Source organism: Homo sapiens, chromosome 5 (genome assembly GCF_000001405.40).
Source record: "Homo sapiens chromosome 5, GRCh38.p14 Primary Assembly".
In the NCBI taxonomy this organism is placed as follows: domain Eukaryota; kingdom Metazoa; phylum Chordata; class Mammalia; order Primates; family Hominidae; genus Homo; species Homo sapiens.
The window spans coordinates 134,710,127-134,733,928 of NC_000005.10; the positions used below are offsets into that span (position 1 = coordinate 134,710,127).

Sequence of the window (23,802 nt, forward strand, 5' to 3'; positions counted from 1 at the left end):
GATCTCGGGTGATTCGCCCGCCTTGGCCTCCCAAATTGCTAGGATTACAGGCATGAGCTACCACATTACACTTCTTAATCTTCTTCTTTTTTTTTTTTTGTCTGAGACAGGGTCTCCCTCTGTTGCCCAGGCTGGAGCGCAGTGGCACGATCTCGGCTCACCACAACCTCCGCCTCCTGGGTTCAACCTCCTCCTCCTGCGTTCAGGCAATTCTCTCGCCTCAGCCTCCTGAGTAGCTGCGATTATAGGCATGCACCACCACACCCCAGCTAATTTTTGTATTTTTAGTAGAGACAGGGTTTCACCATATTGGTTAGGCTGGTTTCTAACGCCCAACCTCAGGTGATCCTCCCACCTCATCCTCCTAAAGTGCAGGGATTACAGCCGTGAGCCACCATGCCTGGTCCTTAATCTTCTTTAGATACACTTTCTTATACCTGTATACTTGCATACCTGTTTCCATGATCTGGATTGGACTTCCATATCCTTGTCTTTGAGTTTAAATGTTTGTAGGGTTTTTCTTTGTTTCGTTTTGTTTGTAGGGTTTTTCATTTGCTACTTATTATTTATATGTCTCCCCTGCCTGCTCTTTGCCTTCCTCCCAGAAAAGAAGGAAAACTCTGGTCTGGTGGAGTAGGCTTATTTATCCAGTGTCCAAAATTGAATGTCCAAACTTATTGCCTCAGGATAAACTTCCCTTATAAAATTTTATTTAAAAGCTCGTGTTGGCCGGCCATGGTGGCTCATGCCTGTAATCCCAACACTTTGGGAGGCCAAGGCGGGCGGATCACTTAAGTTCAGGAGTTTGAGACCAGCCTGGCCAAAGTGGTGAAACCCTGTCTCTACAAAAAATACAAAAATTAGCAGGGCATGGTGGCACATACCTGTAGTCACAGCTACTTGGGAGGCTGAGGCAGGAGAATCGCCTGAACCCAGGAGGCAGAGGTTGCAGTGAGCTGAGATTGCACCACTGCCCTCCAGCCTGGGTGACAAAGCGAGACTCCTTCTCTTAAAAGAAAAATTAAATAAAAAATAAATAAATAAAAGCTCATGTTGGCCAGATGCCATGGTTCACACCTATAACCCAATACTTTGAGAGGCCAAGGTAGAAGGATTGCTTAAAGCTAGGGGTTTGAGACCAGCCTGGGCAAGAAAGCAAGAATCTGTCTCTACTAAAAAATTTAATTTTTTTAATTAAAAAAGAAACAACTCATGTTAATAAAGCACCTGAAGCAGCACTGCAGATTCCAGAACTGTTCAAGGACTGCTGGCTGGGCACAGTGGCTCATGCCTGTAATCCCAGCACCTTGGGAGGCAAAGGCGGGAGGATTGATTGCTTGAGTCTGGGAGTTTGAGACCAGCCTGGACAACATAGTGAGATTCTACCCCTACAAAAAAAAGTTTTTTAATAAGAAAAATAAAGGACTGCTCTGCATCTTTTTTTTTTTTTTTTTTTTTTAACAGTCTCGCTATGTCGCCCAGGCTGGAGTGGCAGTGGCGATCTCGGCTCACTACGACCTCAGCCTCCTGAGTAGCTGCGATTACAGGTGTTCACCACCACGCCTGGCTAATTTTTGTATTTTTAGTAGAGACGGGGTTTCACCATGTTGGCCAGGCTGGTTTTGAACTCTTTTTTTTTGAGATGGAGTCTCGCTGTGTCGCCCAGGCTGGAGTGCAGTGGCGCAATCTTGGCTCACTGCAAGCTCCACCTCCCAGGTTCACGCCATTCTCCTGCCTCAGCCTCCCAAGTAGCTGGGACTACAGGCGCCCACTACCACGCCCGGCTAATTTTTTGTATTTTTAGTAGAGACGGGGTTTCACGGTGTTAGCCAGGATGGTCTCGATCTCCTGACCTCGTGATCCACCCGCCTCGGCCTCCCAAAGTGCTGGGATTACAGGCGTGAGCCACCGCGCCTGGCCGGTTTTGAACTCCTGACCTCAATGATCCACTGGCCTCGGCCTCCTAAATTGCTGGGATTATAGGCGTGAGCTACCACACCAGGCCTTCATCTTGTATTTTTCCTGAACTCTGGGATCTACTTGTCTGTTATGTGTAGTTTTTTCCAGGTGAGAAGAGCAACTCATTACTTTCTAGTAGGAGTGGCTTTTGAATCTACAGTTCTCATTTCTTTTTTTTTTTGTGAGATGGAGTCTCACACTGTCATCCGGGCTGGAGTGTAGTGACGTGATCTTGGCTCACTGCAACCTCCACCTCCCGGGTTCAAGTGATTCTCCTGTCTCAGCCTCCAGAGTAGCTGGGATTACAGGCACCCGCCACCATGCCCAGCTAATTTTTTGTATTTTTAGTAGAGACAGGGTTTCACTATGTTGGCCATTCTGGTCTCGAACTCCTGACCTTGTGATCCGTCCTCCATGGCCTCCCAAAGTACTGGGATTACAGACATGAGCCACCGTGCCCGGTCTCTAGTTCTCACTTCTTTAACTCAAATTATTTATTTCTATTTCTGAATATAAGTACACAGATTACATAAATATTTAATTTTTTTTTTGAGACTAGTCTGGCTCTTGTTGCCCAGGCTGGAGTGCAGTGGCACAATCTTGGCTCACTGCAACCTCCGCCTCCGGGGTTCAAGTGATTCTTCTGCCTCAGCCTCCCAAGTAGCTGGGATTACAGGTGTGTGCCACCATGCCTGGCTAATTTTTTGTATTTTTAGTAGAGACGGGGTTTCACCGTGTTAACCAGGATGGCCTCAATTTCCTGACCTTGTGATCCGCCCACCTCAGCCTCCCAAATTGTTGGGATTACAGCCATGAGCCACCGTGCCTGGAAATATTTAAATTTTTTTTTTTTTTTTTTTTTTTGAGACAGAGTCTCGCTCTGTCGCCTAGGCTGGAGTGCAGTGGCGCAGTCTCGGCTCACTGCAAGCTCCGCCTCCCGGGTTCACGCCATTCTCCTGCCTCAGCCTCCCGAGTAGCTGGGACTACAGGCGCCCACCACAATGCCCGGCTAATTTTTTGTATTTTTAGTAGAGACGGGGTTTCACCGTGTTAGCCAGGATGGTCTCGATCTCCTGACCTTGTGATCCACCCGCCTCGGCCTCCCAAAGTGCTGGGATTATAGGCGTGAGCCACCGCGCCCGGCCGAAATATTTAAATTTTGACGTTTAAAAATCTGAGCTCTTCTTTCTTCTTCAGGCCTTTCTTGAAATACTTTTTTCTAAAGCCTACATTCTCTGATCTTCCCGATTTAATATGCAGTACCCCAATCCCACCCCATCCCTCACCATCCTGACACCCCTAATCACCCTTACCTCCTGTATTTTTCCTATAGCATTTATCACTGACATACCACATATTTTGCTTATTTTTATTCTTCCCTTAATAGGATGTAAGCTCCATGAGGACAAGGATTTTTATCTTTTTCATTCATTTTTTTGTCCTAGCAGTTAGAACAGTTCCTAGTATATAATAGACAATCAGGAAATATTTTTTGAATGAATAGATGGAACTTTCCTTCTTCCATTAAAATCTTAAGAGCTTTTATTATCTTCCTTTAATATAGTCAGTGTACTTGTTTTAATACGTAATTTCATTATTCTTTTCTCTCTGCCTGTTTTACTCCTTTCCATCAATTGGAATACTTAAAACCTTACCCATAACTGGCTGGGTGCGGTGGCTCACGCCTGTAATCCCAGCACTTTGGGAGGCCGAGGCGGGCGGATCATGAGGTCAGGAGTTCAAGACCAGCCTGACCAACATGCTGAAACCTGCTCTCTACTAAAAATACAAAAAAAAAAAAAAAAAATTAGCCGGGTGTGGTGTCGCGCACCTGTAATCCCACCTACTGAGGAGGCTGAGGCAGGAGAATCGCTTGAACCTGGGAGGCAGAGGTTGCAGTGAGCAGAGATCAAACCACTACACTCCAGCCTTGGCGACAGAGGGAGGCTCCGTCACAAAAAAAAAACCTTACCCATAACTTTTTTCTTCTCCATTTTTATCTGTGTAAAGAAAATAATAACAGTTAAATATCATAGTTACTTATTAACTCATTTTACTAAGAAGCTTTCCTCATTTGTAGTAGTATTATTTTTTCTTGTTTATTAGTATTCTTTGTTACATTGTTTGTATGGTGGGAGAATCAATGACAGCTGCCATTAGTCATCACCCAGCACTCATGGGCCACTTAGTGCAGTATTCTAAGTGCACTACCCCCCAGCCACATACCGGTACCAGTGGGTGGCCTGTTAGGAACTGAGCCACACAGCAGGAGGTGACCAGTGGGCGAGGGAGCATTACTGCCTGAGCTCTGCCTCCTGTCAGATAAGTGGCAGCATCAGATTCTCATAGGAGCGCCAACCATATTGTGAACTGCGCATGCGAGAGATCTAGGTTGCATACTCTTTATGAGAATCTAATGTCTGATGATATGAGGTGGAACAGTTTCATCCCAAAATCATCCTCCACCATGTCCCCACCAGTCTGTGGAAAAATTATCTTCTGCGAAACCAGTCCCTGGTACGAAGAAGGACCACTGACGTAATGGATATCTTTTTGGTCCTTCATGTATGCCTTTACTTTGTCATCTGCAATATAACTTCATCCTTCCTATGGTGTTGCTTGGATTGTTACATCATTATCACTATCATTATATGGTAGATAGAGTGTTTAGATCTATTTTATCAACTAGGAAACAGACACCATGGAGATCAGATAACTTTGCCATGGTCAGTTAGTTAATTTCAAAAGACTTTTAGGTGGGGCTATAGCTACAGTTTAATAGATGTGTGTGACTTCTTAAAAAAGATACTTTAAAAAAATTAACAGTAAATTTGTGAATTCTCTCTGAAAATATTCTTTTAACAACTGGCATTTTAAAAGTTCTGGATGTATTTTTAAAATATATTCTTTTGTGGGGAATGGGGGTTTTCTGTTACAGAAATCATTCCAGACTGGGACAAATGCACGTCTAGATGAACGCATTTTTGCTATGTGTCAAGTGAAAAACCAGCCCTTGGTTTACCTTATGCTCACAACTCATCCCAGTTTGTATAGAGTTGACAATCTCTCAGATGAGGTAAGATGGATTGCTTTTTTGTGGTTTTACTTGAAGATTAGTAAGCCTAATCATAGTCCAGTACAGAAATGAGGAAGGGTTTGTTTATTATTTAAGGCTTTAGCTTTTATTTTATTTATTTATTTTTTTGGCTAAGTCTGAGTAAATAAATTTTAGTATAGGGAAGCTCTTAAAAATAGTGCCTTTAAGTTTCCTAAAATACCATCTGTAGAGCAGATCTAAGAAATGGAAAGATTGTCAAATTGACCAGAGCAACTTACTAATTTATTCAAACAAATCGATCTTTTAACAACTGACATTTTAAAAGTTCTGGGTGCATTTTTGCTCGCTTCAGCAGCAAATATACTAAAATTGGAATGATACAGAGAAGATTAGCATGCCCCTTGTACAAGGATGACACACAAATTCGTGAAGCATTTTTAGGAACAGAAAACCGAACACTGCATGTTCTCACTCATAAGTGGGAGTTGAACAATGAGAACACATGGGCACAGGGAGGGAAATATCATACACTGGGTCCTGTCAGGGGGTGGGGACAAGGAGACAGAGATCATTAGCACAAATACCTAATGCATGTGGGGCTTAAAACCCAGATGACAGGTTGATGGGTGCAGCAAAACACCATGGCACATGTATGCCTATATATCAAACCTGCACGTTCTGCACATGTGTCCCAGAACTTAAAGTATTAAAAAAAAAAAAAAAAAAGTTCTGGGTGTATTTTTAAAATATATTTTTTCTGGGGAATGGGGGTTTTTTGTTACAGAAATCATTCCAGAATGGAACAAGTGCACGTCTAGATCTGAGAGTGAAATTACATCTGAACACCCAGTTCAATGTAACAGTGTCCTTGAATTAAAGAAAAAATACTTCTCTAAGTTGTAACATTGTTTTCCTTTGGTAGAAATTTACCAGAATTAAAGTCACAAGAATGAAAATGTCAAATCATAATCTTTCTAAAATTGTGATCAAGTTAAGATATATATTTTGGAAGTGATGTTTTGGTTAAAAACTTTTCAGGCCAGGTATGGTGGCTCACACCTGTAATCCCAGCACTTTGGGAGGCTGAGGCGGGTGGATCAGGAGGTCCAGAGTTCAAGACTAGCCTGGCCAAGATGGTGATACCCTGCCTCTAATAAAAATACGAAAAACAAAAAAATTGGCCAGCTCTGGTGGCGGGTGCCTGTAATCCCAGCTACTCGGGAGGCTGAGGCAGAGAATTGCTTGAACCCGGGAGGCGGAGGTTGCAGTGAGCCAAGATTATGCCACTACACTCCAGCCTGGGTGACAAAGTGAGACTTTGTCTAAAAAAAAAAAAAAAAAAACCTTTGAAAATTTAAAGAATTTAATATGTGGGCCAGGCGCAGTGGCTCATGCCTGTAATCCAGCACTGTGGGAGGCCAAGGCAAGTGGATCACCTGAGGTCAGGAGTTCGAGACCAGCCTGGCCAACATGGCGAAACCCCATCTCTACTAAAAATACAAAAATTAACTGGTCGTGGTGATGCACGCCTGTAATCCTGGGTACTCGGGAGGCTGAGGCAGGAGAATCACTTGAATCCAGGAGGCAAAGGTCGCAGTGAGCTGAGATCATGCCATTGCACTCCAGCCTGAGTGACAATAGAGCAAGATTCCATCTCAAAAAAAAAAAAAAAAAGAATTTAAGATACTTTACATATGTAAAAGAAAATTGCCTATGAAATTTGAGGTAACTTTTTTACTTTTTTTTTTTTTTTGAGACAGGGTTTTGCACTTGTTGCCCAGGCTGGAGTGCAATGGACTGATCTCGGCTCACCGCAGCCTCCGCCTCCCAGGTTCAAAGAATTCTCCTGCCTCAGCCTCCCGAGTAGCTGGGATTACAGGCGTGCACCACCACATCTTGCTAATTTTGTATTTTTAGTAAAGACGGTGTTTCACCATGTTCTTAAGGCTGGTTTCAAATTCCTAACCTCAAGTGATCCACCCGCCTCAGCCTCCCAAAGTGCTGGAATTACAGGCGTGAGCCACTGTGGTGGCCTATTGCATTCTTTTTTGAAGCAAAGGTTAAGATCAGAAGTTAATGGCCAGGCACGGTAAATCACACCTGTAATCCCAGCACTTTGGGAGGCCGAGGCAGGTGGATCACCTGAAGTTTGAGGAGTTTGAGACCAGCCTGGCCAACATGGTGAAACCCCTTCTCTACTAAAAATACAAAAAATTAGCCGGGCATGGTGGCGCATGCCTGTAATCCCAGCTACTCGGGAGGCTGAGGCAGGAGAATCACTTGAATCTGGGAGGCGGAGGTTGCGGTGAGCCAAGATGGTGCCATTGCACTCCAGCCTTGGCAACAAGAGTGAAACTCTGTCTCAAAAAGAAAAAGAAAAAGAAAAAGGAAACAAGATCAGAAGTTAATTTGGCTTTATTGGGAGTCACAGTAGCTTAGTTAGATAAGTGATAACTATTTCGTCATCTTCTTTATATGTAAATATGAATAATTGGCCGGGTGCGGTAGCTCACGCCTGTAACAGCACTTTGGGAGGCCGAGGCGGGTGGATCAACTGAGGTTGGGAGTTCGTGACCAGCCTGACCAACATGGAGAAACTCCGTCTCTACTAAAAATACAAAATTAGCTGGGTGTTGTGGTGCATGCCTGTAATCCCAGCTACTCGGGAGGCTGAGGCAGGAGAATCGCTTGAACCCAGGAGGTAGAGGTTGTGGTGAGCTGAGATTGTGCCATTACATTTCAGCTTGGGCAACAAGAGCGAAACTCCGTCTCAAATAAATAAATAAATAAATAAGAATAATTGTGATTTACCTAAGCAAGGCCCAGACTTGTAGAGGTAACATTCATTTAATTTTTTGTTGTTGTTTAACTGTGACTCCATATTTCCTATATTTAAAACCTTTACTCTTTTACTTAATTCCTCAGGGAGCACTCAACATCAGTGATAGAACCATACCTCAGCCCCCCATTCTTCAGCTTTCAGTGGAGAAGCTGAGCAGAGATGGAGCTTTCCTCATGGATGCAGGCTCTGTAAGTAATTTGACTTATCCTGACCCTCACTGCAAACTACTATACTGTTTTAATTTAGCATTTGGTTTCATTCCCTTTAATATCTCTCTTCCTGAACAGATTTCATATTTTAACCTATATACAGTCGTACACTGATTAATGATGTGTAAGTCATGGCTTATATGATGGTGGTCCCATAAGATTTATAATGGAGCTGAAGAATTCGTATCATTTAGTATTTACTATGCTATTTTTTTTTATTATTGCTTTGGAATGTACTCCTACTTAATTTTTTAAAAAGTTAACCTTAGGCGGGTCCTTGAGGAGGTATTCTAAAAGAAGATCTTATTATCATAGGAGATGACATCTCTATGCATGTTACTGCCCCTGGAGACCTTCTAATGAGACAAGATGTGGAGGTGGAAGACAGTGAGATTGATGATCTTGACGCTGTATAGGCCTGGGCTAATGTGTGTTTGTGTTTCAGTATTTAACAAAACAATTTAAAAAGTAAAAGATAAAAAATTTTAAAAATAGGGCCGGGCACGGTGGCTCATGCCTATAATCCCAGCACTTTGGGAGGCCGAGGCAGGTAGATCATTTGAGGTCAGGAGTTCAAGACCCGCCTGACCAACATGGTGAAAATCTCTACTAAAAATACAAAGAAATTAACCGAGCGTGGTGGGGCATGCCTGTAATCCTAACTACTTGGGAAGCCGAGGCAGGAGAATCGCTTGAACCCAGGAGGCAGAGGTTGCAGTGAGCCAAGATTGCACCACTGCACTCTAGCCTGGGCAACAGAGCAAGACTGTCTCAAAAAAAAAAAAAAAATTTAAAATAGAAAAATGCTTATAGAATAATGATATAAAGAATATTTTTGTACAACTGTACAATGTGTGTTTTAAGCTAAGTGTTATTACAAAAGAGTCAAAAAATTAAAATAATTTGTCCGGGCATGGTGGCTTATGCCTGTAATTGCAGCGCTTTAGGATGCCAAGGCAGGCGGATTGCTTGAGGTCAGGAATTCGAGACCAGCCGGGGCAACATGGTGAAACCCTGTCTCTACTCAAAATGCAAATGTTAGCCAGACATAGTGGCTCCAGGCTGTAGTCCCAGCAACTCAGAAGGCTGAGGTGTGAGAATCATCTGAGCTGGGGAGGCTGAGGCTTCAGTAAGCTGAGATCACACCACTGCACTCCAGCCTGGGCAACAAACTGATACCTAGTCTCAAAAAAAAAAAAAAAAAAAGAAGAAGTTGGCTGGGCCCAGTAGCTCACATCTGTAATCCCAACCTTTTGGGAGGCCGAGGATGGCAGATTCCTTTAGCCCAGGAATTCGAGAACAGCCTGGGCAATATAGCAAAACCCTGTCTCTACTCAAAATACCAAATCCAGGCGTGGTCACGTGCACCTGTAATACCAGCTACTTGGGAGGCTGATGTGGGAAGATCACCTGAACCCAGGAGGTTGAGGCTGCAGTGAGCTGAGATCATACCACTGCACTCCAGCCTGGGCAGCAGAACAAGGCCCTGTCTCAAAAACAAAATTAAGAGACTGGGCGCAGTAGCCCACACCTGTAATCCCAGCACTTAGAGATGCCAAGGCGGGCGGATCACCTTAGGTCGGGAGTTCAAGACCAGCCTGACCAACGTGGAGAAACCACGTCTCTACTAAAAATACAAAATTAGCCAGGCGTGGTGGCACATGCCTGTAATCCCAGCTACTTGGGAGGCTGAGGCAGGAGAATCACTTGAACCTGGGAGGTGGAGGTTGTGGTGAGCCAAGATCGTGCCATTGCACTCCAGCCTGGGCAACAAGAGCAAAACTACGTCTCAAAAAAAAAAATTAAAAGAAGTTTATAAAGTTATAGTAAACTACGATTAATTATTGAAGAAAGAAATTTTTTTATATATCTCTAGTGTAGCCTAAATGTACAGTGTTTGTAAAGTTTATAGCAGTGTCCAGTAATGTCCTAGGCCTTTACATTCACTCATCACTCACTGACTCACCCAGAGCAACTTTCAGTCTTGTGCACTCCATTCGTGGTTAAGTGCCCTATACAGGTGTACTGTTTATCCCTTCTGCCATATTTTTACTATACCTTTCCTATGTTTAGATACACAAATACTTAGCATTGTTTTACAGTTGCCTACAGTATTCAGTACAGTAACATGCTATAGACGTTTGTAGCCTAGGTACAGTAGGCTATACCATTAAGGCTTGTGTAAATCCACTCTATGATGTTCATACAGAGAAATCACTTAACAACACGTTTCTCAGCATGTATCCACATTGTTCAGTGGATTCATGGCAGTACATTTGTCTGCCACCTTTCCCCTCCATATCTTCCTTGTTTCATGCCAAGCATAAAATGTCTCATCAGGTAAATACTAATTATTATTAATTCAGTTAAAGGCTGTACAATCTCACTAAATATACTTACCTTTTTGACCTTTTAAAATATACTCAAGCTGGGTGTGGTGGCTCACACCTGTAATCCCAGCACTTTGGGAGGCTGAGGCAGGCAGATCTCTTGAGGTCAGGAGTTCAAGACTAGCCTGGCCAATATGGTGAAACCCCATCTCTACTAAAAATACAAAAATTAGCTGGGCATGGTGGCACACGCCTGTAGTCCCAGCTACTCTGGAGGCTGAGGTGGGAAATCGCTTGAACCCAGGAGTCGGAGGTTGCAGTGAGCCGAGATTACACCACTGCACTCCAGCCTGGGTGACAGAGTGAGACCCTATCTCACAAATATATATATAAAATAAAAATAAAATGTACTCACTCAACAGACTCACCTTTATGTATGCTGCATCTCAAAATAATTTTATTCCTGTCCCTAGGTACTGATGCTTTGGGTTGGAAAAAATTGTACACAGAATTTTCTCAGCCAAGTTCTAGGAGTTCAAAACTATGCATCAATTCCACAGCCTATGGTAAGACTCTTTTATTATAGTGATTATAAAGGGCATTTCAAAGTTGGCAAAAACATGAATATCCCCTATTTTGATATCAGAAAATAATAACAAAATCATACCAAAAATTTTTATTGATGGGTTTTCATGTTGATGGATTCTATGACTCCACTCATAGAATCATTAGGGAATTTATATATTTAAAAGGCAGATATGCCAGCCACAGCGGCTCACACTGTAATCCCAGCACTTTGGGAGGCCAGGGCGGGCTGATCACGAGGTCAAGAGATCGAGACCATCCTGGCCAACATGGTGAACCCCCTTCTCTACTAAAAATACAAAAATTAGTTGGGCGTGGTGGCGCACACCTGTAGTCCCAGCTACTCAGGAGATTGAGGCAGGAGAATCGCTTGAACCCAGGAGGTGGACATTGCAGTGAGCCAAGATTGTACCACTGCACTCCAGCCTGGCAACAGAGTGAGACTCCATCTCAAAAAAAAAAAAAAAAAAAAGATAGATATGCCAGGCGTGGTGGCTCACACTGGTAGTCCCAGCACCTTGGGAGGCTGAGGTGGGAGGATCACTTGAGCCCTGGAGTTTGAGACCACCCTAAGCAACATAGTGAGACCCCATAACTACAGAACATTTTTAAAATAGCTGGGCATGGTGGCACACAACTGTGGTCTTAGCTACTTACGAGGCTGAAATGGGAGGAGTGCTAGGACCTGGGAGGTTGAGGCTGAAGTGAGCAGTGATTATGCTGCTGCACTCCCGCCTGGGCAACAGAGCAAGAACCTGTCTCAAAAAATAAATAAATAAAAGACTGCTGTGTCAGGATTATAGCTAGGATAAGCACTGGCTTTCAGGCCTTAAACAGAACTACTGGGCTGGATGACTAAGCGTTTTAGGTAATGAGTAAGAAATTGTTATATTTTTAATAATAACTGAACGAATCAATTAATTCTTGACGTCATGCTAAAATGAAGGGAAGAACTAAGAGGTTTTTTTAGATGAGGGCTTAGAAACTATGCCCAAGGGGTACCTGCTACTTGTTTTTGTAAATAAGGTTTTATTGGAACATCCATGCCTGTTCACTTATGTATTGTTTATGGCTACTTTGGTGTAACAATGGCAAGGTTGCCCGGGCGTGGTGGCTCACACCTGTAATCTCAGCGCTTTGGGAGGCCGAGGCTGGCGAATCACCTGAGGTCGGGAGTTCAAGACCAGCCTGCCCAACATGGAGAAACCCCCGTCTCAAGGCGAGGTGGGCGAATGACCTGAGGTCAGGAGTTCGAGACCAGCCTGGCCAACATGGAGAAACCCCCATCTCTACTAAAAATACAAAATTAGCCGGGTGTGGTGGCGCACACCTGTAATCCCAACTACTCTCCCAGCTACTCTGGAGGCTGAGGCAGGAGAATCTCTGGCAGGCGAATCGCTTGAATCTGGGAGGCAGAGGTTGCAGTGAGCCAATATCACGCCATTGCACTCCAGCCTGGGCAACAAGAGCGAAACTCTGTCTCAAAAAATAAAAAACAATGGCAAAGTTAAGTAGTTGCAGCAGAGACCAAATGATCTGCAAGCCTAAAGTACTTACTATATGGGCCTTTAAGAAGTTTGCCTACTCCTGTTCTAGAATATTCGTAGAAAATTGTGTTCCCAAGTCAAGTTGCACTGGCATCACTGCAGGAATTTTTTAGGAAAGCAAAATCTCAGGACCACAACCCTGCCCCAGACCTCCTAAATCATTATCTGTAGTTCAAGAAGATGATCAGGTGATTCATATACATGTTAAAATTCAAGACCAGGCATGGTGGCTCACACCTGTTATCCCAGAACTTTGGGAGGCCGAGGTGGGCAGATTGCTTAAGCCCAGGAGTTCAAGACCAGCCTGAGCAACGTGGTGAGATACTCGTCTCTACTAAAAATACAAAAATTACCTGGCAGGTGGCACACGCCTCTTATTCCAGCTACTTGGTGGGGCTGAGGTGAGAGAATCACTTGAGCCTCAGGAGGCAGTGGAGGTTACAGTGAGCCATGATCACACCAGTGCACTTCAGCCTGGGCAACAGAGCAAGACCTTGTCTCAAAAAATAAGTTAAATTTGAGAAGTAGACCGGGCACTGTGGCTCACTCCTGTAATCCCAGCACTTCGGGAGGCCGAGGCAGGTGTATCGCCTGAGCCCAGGAGTTCGAAATCAGCCTGGGCAACATGGCAAAACCCATCTCTACAAGAAATATAAAAATTAGCCAGGCATGGTGGCACGCATCTGTAGTCCCAACTATTCAGAAGGCTATGGTGGGAGGATCACCGGAGCCTGGAGGTTGAGACTGCAGTGAGCCATGATTATGCCACTGCACTCCAGCCTGTCAACAGAGGCCTTGTCTCAAAAAAGAAAAAAAATGTAATTAAAAAAATAAAAATTTGAAAAGTACCATAGACCATACATTAGATATGTAATTAAAGTAATTGGATATTGTTGGTTTTGGTTAACAGACAGACCTTCCAGAACTTGATACACCAGAATCTGCCAGAATAATAGCTTTCATCTCTTGGCTTAGAGAGCAGAGACCATTTTTCCCAATACTTTATGTAATAAGGTAAGTTGAATTTTCCATTTGCTAGTAGTAAAACAATTTGTTTGGCCTTGCCAGGACCTGACAAGAGTATAGCAAAAAAAAAGAAGAAAGAAAAAGAGTTCTTCTCAATAAATAGCAGTAAATCATACCTTATATCCAATGATTGGAAATACAGAACTTTTTTCATTTTTAATTGACTAATAATAAGTGTATATATTTATGGGGTACACTAATTTATTGATACATGTATACATTGTGGAATGATCAAATTCGGCTAATTAACATATTCATCTTCTCAGCCAATTATTGTTTCCTTGTGGTGAGAACATTTAAAATCCATTATTTTGCCTATTTTAAAATATACAATACATCATTATTAACCATAGTCATCATACTGTGTAATAGATCACCAGAATCCATTCATCCTAACTGAAATTTTGTACCCTTTGACTAACATTTCTTCTTTCCTTCTCCATAGCCACTTCCTGCCTCCTAGCCTCTAATAACCATAATTCTACTTTCTACTTATATGAGTTCAACTTTTTTAGGTTCCACACATAAGTAAGATCGTGTGGTGTTTGTCTCTCTGTGCCTGGTTTATTTCACTCAGCATAATGTCACAAATGACAGAATTTCCTGTTTTTTAAAGGCTGAAGTCGCCGGGCGCGGTGGCTCATGCCTGTAATCCCAGCACTTTGAGAGGTCGAGGCGGGCAGATCACCTGAGGTTGGGAGTTCGAGACCAGCCTGACCAACATGGAGAAACCCCGTCTCTACTAAAAATACAAAATTAGCCTGGCATGGTGGCACATGCCTGTAATCCCAGCTACTCGGGAGGCTGAGGCAGGAGAATAGCTTGAACCCAGGAGGTGGAGGTTGTGGTGAGCCAGGATCGTGCCATTGCACTCCAGCCTGGGCAACAAGAGTAAAACTCCATCTCAAAAAAAAAAAAAAGGCTCGGTAGAATTCCATTGTATATATATACCACATTTGAAAAATCCATTCAGTTATTTCCATATCGTGGCTATTGTGATTAATGCTGCAGTGATCATGGAAGTGCAGACATCTCTTTGATATACTGATTTCAATTCCTTTGGATATATATTCAGAAATGGAATTTCTGGATCAACTATTTCTCTTAATTCCACCATAAGCTTTTCCCTTAAACAACTTGAAATTTACATAATCAACCAAGTATTCTCAGAGAAAGCCTCTAGAAGTAACTGTTTATATAGTAAATGTTATTAGGGTTATGAGGAAATCAAAAGCCTTCTGACAAGTCTATTTTACTGCTACATTTTATCTAAATTTTTTTGCCTTTTATTCCTAAGGGATGAGAGTCCAATGAAAGCAAACTTCCTTCAAAACATGATAGAAGACAGAACAGAATCTGCATTATCATATTATGAATTCCTGTTGCATATACAGCAACAAGTGAATAAATGAATGAATGAAGAAATTTGACTTATTTTTAAGGAATGTCACGATAGTGCAGAATACCTGGAAATGTGTAATACCTTCTTTTTCTATTATGTTTGTGGACTAATGTGATGATTGAGATGTTCTCACTGTGATTTCAACAACCTATAGCAAATAAAAGACCACAGCAGAGAATCAAACATGCAACTCTGAAATACTGTATTTTTCAAATCAGAATATAGCTACGTATGATTGGATACTTTTTTCTTGCCAATTATGTTTGAGTTGTTATGGATTAAAATAAGAATATTGCAGAGGCAAAGTACATTTTGTAAAATAAAGATTTCTGTGTTCTACATGTATATTTCTCATTTTTAATTTTTCTGAATCTTTGGCTGCTACATTTAAAACCTCACAAACCTAAGTGTTGCAGGGAAGTTACAAATTGATTGGTAGTGATGTTTTTAAAATAAAAACAATGGAAAGTAAATATAATGTAGGAAAACTAGAATTCATTCCCCACACGTGTCTTTTTTTTTTCTTTGTTAAGGGAAAGGATCATGTTGACTAAAACTAAACTAATTCTAGTATAGCTTGAGAAAAATATGAAGAAACACATTCAAGCTTTAAAATCTGTCAGTATTCTTTATGCTTGAAGAACAAAGTCACTTTGATTTGAAGTGAGAACTATCATTAGGTGGTTTTCTGATTTCCTGATGAAGAGTTGGACATACTGTCTTAATCTATAGTGAAAAGAATTTGAGCTGTCTTCATAAACACTGGGACTAGCAATGATAATAGGGAGATAAGAAACTTTAATTATCTTGATCCTTTAAGTGGATTTTATTTGGTGCATTTCTGCTCTGGGTATATAATAAAAGTGGGGGTTTTTGGTGAAATGAGTGAAGAAATGAAAGGTTTCTAAAGTGCTATCCAAATACATCAGTAACATTTTTCTAAGGAGTTTAATTGTTAAATTGGAAGTCATTCATAAGAAATATTTATGCTTGAATATGAAAATCTATGAAAGCATAAATGCTGCTGTTTGATTTGGTGGATATTAAGATTATACACATCCAACATATTAAAGTTATGAAAGAAACTTGACTTCTGAAAATCCTTAAGAGACTGCTTTCTTGATTCAGCTAGAGAAATATTATAGTCAAAACTATTGAGTGAATTTTGTTTACAAATAGGTAAATTATACATTTGTATATTTAAAGTGCTGTGACATAGTATCTTTAAGAGTTTGGCTCAGTTTTCACAGATTCATTTTGTCTTAAGAATTTCTTAAATATGTTCATGTATAATACTTGATCAAAATATTTTTGGGTTTTTTGTTTTGTTTTAATGGGTTAGAAAATGTTTACAATCTTGGTCTTATATGATCACCAATGGAATAGTAACTTCCAGGTTTATATCAATATGAGCTGACTTTAACTGAGTTGTTTGGGATAGGGAAGAAGCAGTCCCTCTACAGTATACAACTACTGCTTGCCAGCTGGATCAAAATAATCATGTTTTATGAAAATATCTCCCTTAAGCAGTGTTAAGGTTGGTTTGCAGTGTGTAAGTGGCACATTGAACTGGAAGTTTTCTTGAAAGCTGCTTCATCTATTAAGAAGCAATTTTCAAATTGTAGCGAATTATATTATCCCCTCTTTTAAAGAAACAGTCGTTATATGCTGATGTTTCTTAAAATAACTAAAATGTTCCTCTTAATGTGATTTTAAATGGAGTTATTTGTAGGTCCTTTCTTAGTAGTAAAGAATCTTCTAGAGGGAAACATTTGTGCTTTTAGGGATAATCTTCCTTGTGCCTCACTACATCCCTAAGTGGGTATGACTCTTGTTATTACCACATGCTTTTTTAGTATATTTCACAAATTTACTTTTAAATATTATTTTAGATACGGTGTAACATGTGCAATTCAGAATAATTTTATAACAGGTCATGAAAAACATAACTTTAGTTAGGATTCACAATATTTGTTCTCCACATAATGAGAGAATGAATGAGCCTTTGGAGATACTGATATAAGGCAATTATTTTTTGCAATGTTGAATGTGTTTTTTAGTTTGATTCTTTTTTTTTCCCCCAATAGGGCACTACCTGCCATATCATCTTGTATTACTTTTTGATGTAAAGCGACTAATATTTACACTATGCCATATTTTTTTTAATTATAGTTGTAAATTATGAAAGATCCTTGAATTTTCTACAGATCTACAACTACTAATGTAACAGACAAGGGCAATCTTGGTATTTAAATCTGAGCATGGCAGTTCTACCATAAAAAGTACTCTATTTTTCTAATTTCTAGGATTTTTAAAATAACATTTCTGTAAGTCTGACATACTAATAGTCACTCAAGCAGTACCATTTATTTTAGTTTGCATATATTTTCACTGTTTTTAATTTAATGTATTGAGTCTAATAGACTGTTTTGCAATAATTAGAATAAAGATTTATTTCTTCTAATCAAAGATGCATAACAGCTATTATCTAGGGGACCACCAAATGTGATTTCAAAATTTTGTTAACTATTACAAATGTAATCCTTATATAGAAATTTTAATTTTGTAAAGTAGTGTATAATATTGTAATATTAAATTCTTGTTCTTAAATTCAAATATGTATTGATCTTCAATGTGCTGTGTTAAATCTTGCTTCTCTGAAAAGTTGGAGACAAGATTTGTCTTCCTTTTTACAGTTTGTAATTTTCACTGTTTTATTCCTGTTAAAAAAAAAAAAAAGTCATTTGTAACCCATGCAGACCATTGTTTGATCTATGCTAACTTATCAACTTGGCTATTCAATAAAGTTAATTGAAAAGAGCTTATATATAGTGACTAGTTATTTAAAGTGATATGAGCCTGGTATGGTGGCCCACACCTGTAATCCCAGCAGTTTGGGAGGCCCAGGTGTAAGGATCACTTGAGGCCTGGAGTTGAAGACCTGTCTGGGCCAGGTGGCGAAAACTTGTCTCTACAAAATAGTTTTTAAAAGTAGGCTGGGCGTGGTGGCTCACGCCTGTAATCCTAGCACTTTGGGAGGCCAAGGCAGGTGGATCACCTGAGGTCAGGAGTTCGAGACCAGCCTGGCCAATATGGTGAAACCCCATTTCTACTAAAAGTACAAAAACTTAGCCAGGCATGGTGGCGCATGCCTGTAATCCCAGCTACTTGGGAGGCTGAGGCAGGAGAATCGCTTGAACCCTGGCCGAGGTTGCAGTGATCCCAGATCGTGCCATTGCACTCCAGCTTGGGGAACAAGAGCAAAACTCCATCTAAAAAAAAAAAAAAAAGTCCAGGTGTGGTGGCTCATGCCTGTAATCCCAAAACTTTGGGAGGCCGAGGCGGGCAGATCACCTGAGGTCAGGAGTTTGAGACCACCCTGGCCAATATGGTGAAACTCCGTTTCTACTAAAAATACAAAAATTAGCTGGGCATGGTGGCAGGTGCCTGTAATCCCAGCTACTTGGGAAGCTGAGGCATGAGATTTGCTTGAACTCGAGAGGCGGAGGTTGCAGGGAGCTGAGATCGCGCCACTGTATTCCGGCCTGGGCAACAGAGCGAGACTCCATCTCAAAAAAAAAAAAAGTGTAATCCCAGTAGAAAAAAGTGCTGTAATCCCAGCACTTTGGGAGGCCGAGATGGGAGGATCACAAGGTCAGGAGTTTGAGACCAGCCTGGCCGACATAGTGAAACCCCATCTCTACTAAAAATACAAAAAATTAGCTGGGCGTGGTGATGGGCACCTGTAATCCCAGCTACTTGGGAGGCTGAGGCAGGAGAATCGTTTGAACCTGGGAAGCAGAGGTTGCAGTGAGCCGAGATCGCGCCACTGTACTCCAGCCTGGGTGACAGTGTGAGACTCAGTCACAAAAAAAAAAAAAAAAAAAGGTGGCGGGGCATGGTGACTCACGCTTGTAGTCCCAGCTACTCAGGAGGCTGAGGCAGGGGGATCCCTTAACCCTAGGAGTGTGAAGCTGCAATGAACCATGATTGTGCCACTGCATTCCACCCAGGGCAAGAAAGCAAGACCCTGTCTCTTTAAGTAAAAAGTGACACGAACAACTTGCCAATTACTAAGTAGTGCTATGTTGTGCATCCAAATTATGTCAGTGAAAAAATTATTGCTGAAGATGCTTTAAATAGCCTATGTAGATGTCTGGGAGGTCATAAACTGAATTCTTGATGCTTGCTTCTCAAGGATAGCTGGGTTTGAAATTCTATATCAAAGGTTATTTTTCCATTGATAATGTTAAGATATTACTCCATTGTTTTCTGTACCCTTGTGTCATAAAAAGATAACTGGCCAGGCGCGGTGGCTCATGCCTGTAATCCCAGCACTTTGGGAAGCTGAGGCAGGTGGATCACCTGAGGTTGGGAGTTCAAGACCAGCCTGACCAACATGGAGAAACCCCATCTCTACTAAAAATACAAAATAAGCCGGGCGTGGTGGCGCATGCCTGTAATTTTTGTATTTTTAATAGAGACAGAGTTTCACCATGTTGACGAGGCTGGTCTCGAGCTCCTAGCCTCAAGTGATCCACCTGTCTTGGCTTTTATCCTTAATGTACTATAGTTTTATTACTGTTGGTTTGTTGTTGTTGTTGTTGTTTATTTTTTTGAGACAGAGTTTCACTCTTGTTGCCCAGGCTGGAGTGCAATGGCATGATCTCGGCTCACTGCAACCTCCACCTCCCGGGTTCAAGCAATTCTCCTGCCTCAGCCTCCCAAGTAGCTGGGATTACAGGCATGCAGCACCACACCTGGCTAATTTTGTATTTTTAGTAGAGACGGGGTTTCTCTATGTTGGTCAGGCTGGTCTCGAACTCCCGACCTCAGGTTATCCGCCCGCCTCGGCCTCCCAAAATGCTGGGATTACAGGCATAAGCCACCGCACCCAGCCTGTTGTTTATTTTTTTATCCTGCTTGTTATTCAGAGCACACTTTAAAGATTCTTGTCTACAATTCTGAAAAACTCCCAGCCATTTCCTTTTCAAATATTTGAAAACTGTTCTATAAAATTAATTCTTTCTGGAATAAATTTCTATTCCAACTTTTAACTCGGCTGGAAGAATTTAAGTGTTGTATTTCTTCATGTTCGTTGGAATATGGGTTTTCAGGCATATTTGAGGGGAAGTATTTTTATTTTTGTTTTAGTTCTTCTCTCTTTGTTTATGCCTACCTCTTATCTAAGGGTTTTATAATTGCCTTTTCCTGACCCCTTTTCCAGAACTAGGGCTCTTAGTGGTGCTTCTGGGCTCCTATTCTGTAATGATTTGGGGATATCATCATTGCAGTCACCTATAGTGGGAAGTGTAATTGTTGCCCTCCCTTCTGCCTTCTTTCTTTTAAAGCGGAAATCCAAGGCTGTGTAGGTCAATAGCGAGTTATGATTTGAACATTTTGGAGTGAGGACAGGCTTTAAACAGTTTGGTCTGGTCTTCCTTGTCTCATATAGAGCATGAATAATGCCTGTCACCCCATAAAATGTTCTCTTTCTCCTGCTTCTGGACCTGCAGCCCACCAGGCATCTGATTTCAACTCTACACTTCCTTGTGTTTCTGACTCTTTGATCTGCTGAGATGTTCCTCTCATGGTTTTGAATCAAGCAAGCTATCTTTTGTCTCCTTTTTTATTTTTAACTGTGTGTAGTAGAGGAATCCAAGCATCAACTTACTGCCATAATTGTAACCCCAAAAACTGGATTCTAATTTTATCACTTAATTATTGCTATTCAATCTGTTCAGCTTTGTATCTACAGTTTATTTTAAAAATTACTAATATTAGCCTACCTAAAAAAATACTAGGATCAAATACAAATCATATAAAAAAGTCACTGAAAATGCCAAGTTTTGACACTTGCTCTAAGAGAAAAATTTCTGCAAATATTCTGGTAAATTTAGTCTAGTACTAAAGTCTGGTACTCAGTGCTAGACTTGGGGCAAAGTGGTACTTTTTTTAAAAAAGGGAAGGGCCTGGCCGGGTGTGGTGGCTCATGCCTGTAATCTCAGCACTTTGGGAGACCGAGGCTGGCGCATCACAAGGTCAGGAGTTCAAGACCAGCCTGGCCAACATGGTTAAACCCCGTCTCTACTAAAGATACAAAAAATTAGCTGGGCATGGTGGCATGTGCCTGTAATTCCAGCTACTCGGGAGGCTGAGGCAGGAGAATCGCTTGAACCTGGGAGGTGGAGGTTGCAGTGAGCTAAGATAGTGCCATTGCACTCTAGCAGGGTGACAGGGCAAGACTCCGTCTCAAAAAAAAAAAAAAAAAAAAAAGGAAGGGCCTGCCCTTGTAAAGTCTATAGTGAGGGAGATAGAAATTAGTATGAATGTATGCACATCATTTATCAAAGAATCACATACCACTGAGATGTGCTAGGAAGGATAACTGAAACTACAGAAACCCCACCAGGAAAAGGTTCCCCAGACATTGGTAAGCACATAACATGAAATCTTGACACTTTAACTCTCACCTGACTTAAATGAGCCATCATATTTCAAAACATCTATCTAAAGAACTGAAACTTTCATCTGGCTTTTATAGGCTATCTCAAATGAAAAAATCTTTTGTTTACCCTGGGATTATATTTAGCCAACTTTGTTATTAAAGGAGAAGAGGGAAGAGACACGTTGTTACTTGTATGTTTAAGAGGTTAGACGCTTTTCTAGGTAGATACCCACAACCCTAAGTTATGTTTGTTTCCTTTAGACATTGACTACGACAAAAGGAGATTGGACCTCTCTGAATATGAGTTTCTTTCTTATAATTTAACCTTTCTTTTTTAGATGTTCACTAATTACATTCTAAATAGGTCTTCACAATTGCTTTATGAATGCCAATTTGAGGGTTTACAACCTAGAGATTATCAAAAAACACTACTATTTTAGATAACTGGTGAGACACTGAGATGGTAGAGGATTGTTTCCTGGGAATTTATTTCCACCTGAAAATTTAACACTCTTACACTCTTAACTAGCTTAGTAGCTGATATATATTAGGCATTCAAATAATTGATGAATGAATGAACAAGCTCAGACATAACTTAGTGAAACTAGAAAGTCCATCCACAATCATAAAAGGTGTCTTTTTATGTTCCCTATTCCCTTCCACTCTTTGTTCAATGCATTTGAATTTTGTATTCTCTCATAAATCATAGTTAAGATTCAATTTTGCATTATACATTATACATACTACTTTAGCATTGCTAGTGTTTGCATAATAGCATATTATTAGCTATTTAATCAATATTTATTATTTTTCTCTCAATATTGGAAATATGAATTAATTCCAAGTTTTCACAGTTATTCATTGAGCATCTACATGTTCATTTTTTTTTTCTTTTTTTTTAGACAAGGTCTCACTGTCACACAGTAAGTGCATTGACAGGATCATAACTCGCTGCAGCCTTGACCTGCTGGGCTCAAAGGATTCTCCCACCTCAGCCTCCCAAGTGACTGGGATTACAGGCTATTTTTATTTATTTTTATTTTTTGTAGTTTTCGTAGAGATGGGGTTTCACCATGTTGCCCAGGCTGGTCTCGAGTGTCTGGGCTCAAGTGATCCTCCAGCCTCGGCCTATCAAAGTGCTGGGATTACAGGTGTGAGCCACCATGCCCAGCCAGTTTTTTGTTTTGTTTTTGTTTTTTCCTTTTTGTGAATATTTTACCTATGTTAAGTTTTAAGTGATTACTATTATAAATCAAGAGACTTTTTTTAGTTCCTACCACATATTATGAGAATGCTAATTTATCATCAGCATGTTATGATTTGGAGCATGGGTTTGTCCTCATGAACGGGGACTATTTCTTTATATTGGTTGGCAGGATTAATCAGTGTGTCATAATTATCACTTCCTCAAATCGTGCTTCTCCGTGGTGACATCCAACTGCAGTATCATTTAAAAGGATAAGATTCTTAGCAATTCAGCCAGGGTTATGGCAAGGTCAGCACAAACCAATTGGTCTGTGTTGGAAGCTTTCTCCCTGAATTCTTCCTTCAAGTATTAGGGGTTTTGAGTCAGGATAATACTCATGTGCAATGATTTGGCAAAAGAGATGAGGCATGAAAATAATTCACTTTATAGGAGTGCTGAAAACAGCAGGTACAGGAGGGCTTCACAAGCCTGGAGAGGCCAAGCGTGGTAGCTCATGCCTGTAATCCCAGCACTTTGGGAGTCTGAGGCAGGAGGATTGCTTGAGCTCAGAAGTTCAAGAACAGCCTGGGCAACATGGCAAGACCCTGTCTTTAAAAATAAAAAATAGGCCAGGTGCAGTGGCTCACACCTGTAATCCCAGCACTTTGGGAGGCCGAGGCGGGTGGATCACAAGGTCAGGAGATTGAGACAATCCTGGCTAACACAATGAAACCCCATCTCTATTAGAAACGCAAAAAATTAGCCAAGCATGCTGGCACATGCCTGTAGTCCCAGCTACTTGGGAGGCTGAGGCAGGAAAATCACTTGAACCCGGGAGGTGGAGGTTGCAGTGAGCCGAGATCGCACCACTGCCCTCCAGCCTGGGTGATAGAGCAAGAGACTTTGTCTCTAAATAAATAAATAAATAAAAAATAGCCAGCTGTGGTGGCATGTACCTGTGGTCTCAGCTACTTGGGAGGCTAGGTGAGAGGATCAGTTGAGCCTGGGAAGTCAAGGCTGCAGTGAGCCCCGTTGGAGCCACTGCACTCCAGCCTGGGCAACAGAGGGAGACTCTGTCTCAAAGAATAAAAAAAAGCATGGGGACTGCCTGAGCAAGGGAGGCCAGAAACCTTAAATTGCCACTCTCCTAGAGTAGCAGAAATCCTCATCAGTGTCACCCTGGGGTAACATCGGAGAGTAACATTATCCA

The 23,802-nt window shown here is 41.3% G+C and overlaps 1 protein-coding gene and 1 pseudogene across 5 annotated transcripts in view, besides 1 other annotated feature; both read left to right on the forward strand.

Moving 5' to 3' along the window:
• The window catches only part of SEC24A (SEC24 homolog A, COPII component), a 79,528-nt gene extending 61,745 nt beyond the window's left edge, over positions 1-17,783 (forward strand). For 4 of the 5 annotated variants that reach the window (XM_017008961.3, XM_047416648.1, NM_021982.3 and 1 more), the window contains 5 exons: positions 4,898-5,035; positions 7,943-8,047; positions 10,872-10,964; positions 13,441-13,544; positions 14,854-17,783. In XM_017008961.3, coding sequence (XP_016864450.1) covers positions 4,898-5,035; positions 7,943-8,047; positions 10,872-10,964; positions 13,441-13,544; positions 14,854-14,968 — 555 coding nt within the window. In that variant the 3' untranslated portion in view covers positions 14,969-17,783. Of the gene's footprint in view, positions 1-4,897; positions 5,036-7,942; positions 8,048-10,871; positions 10,965-13,440; positions 13,545-14,853 lie in introns of those variants that run through there. The other variant, XM_047416649.1, reaches the window with a different exon arrangement.
• On the forward strand, positions 5,357-5,456 carry RNU6-757P (RNA, U6 small nuclear 757, pseudogene; annotated as a pseudogene).
• Positions 18,624-18,791: a silencer, noted in NCBI's record as "fragment chr5:134064440-134064607 (GRCh37/hg19 assembly coordinates)". NCBI's record gives its function as "represses an EF-1alpha promoter that drives an FKBP-Casp9 reporter gene in an ReSE screen in phorbol 12-myristate 13-acetate-treated (for megakaryocytic differentiation) K562 erythroleukemia cells {active_cell/tissue: K562(+PMA)}" and the evidence as "EXISTENCE:reporter gene assay evidence [ECO:0000049][PMID:32094911]".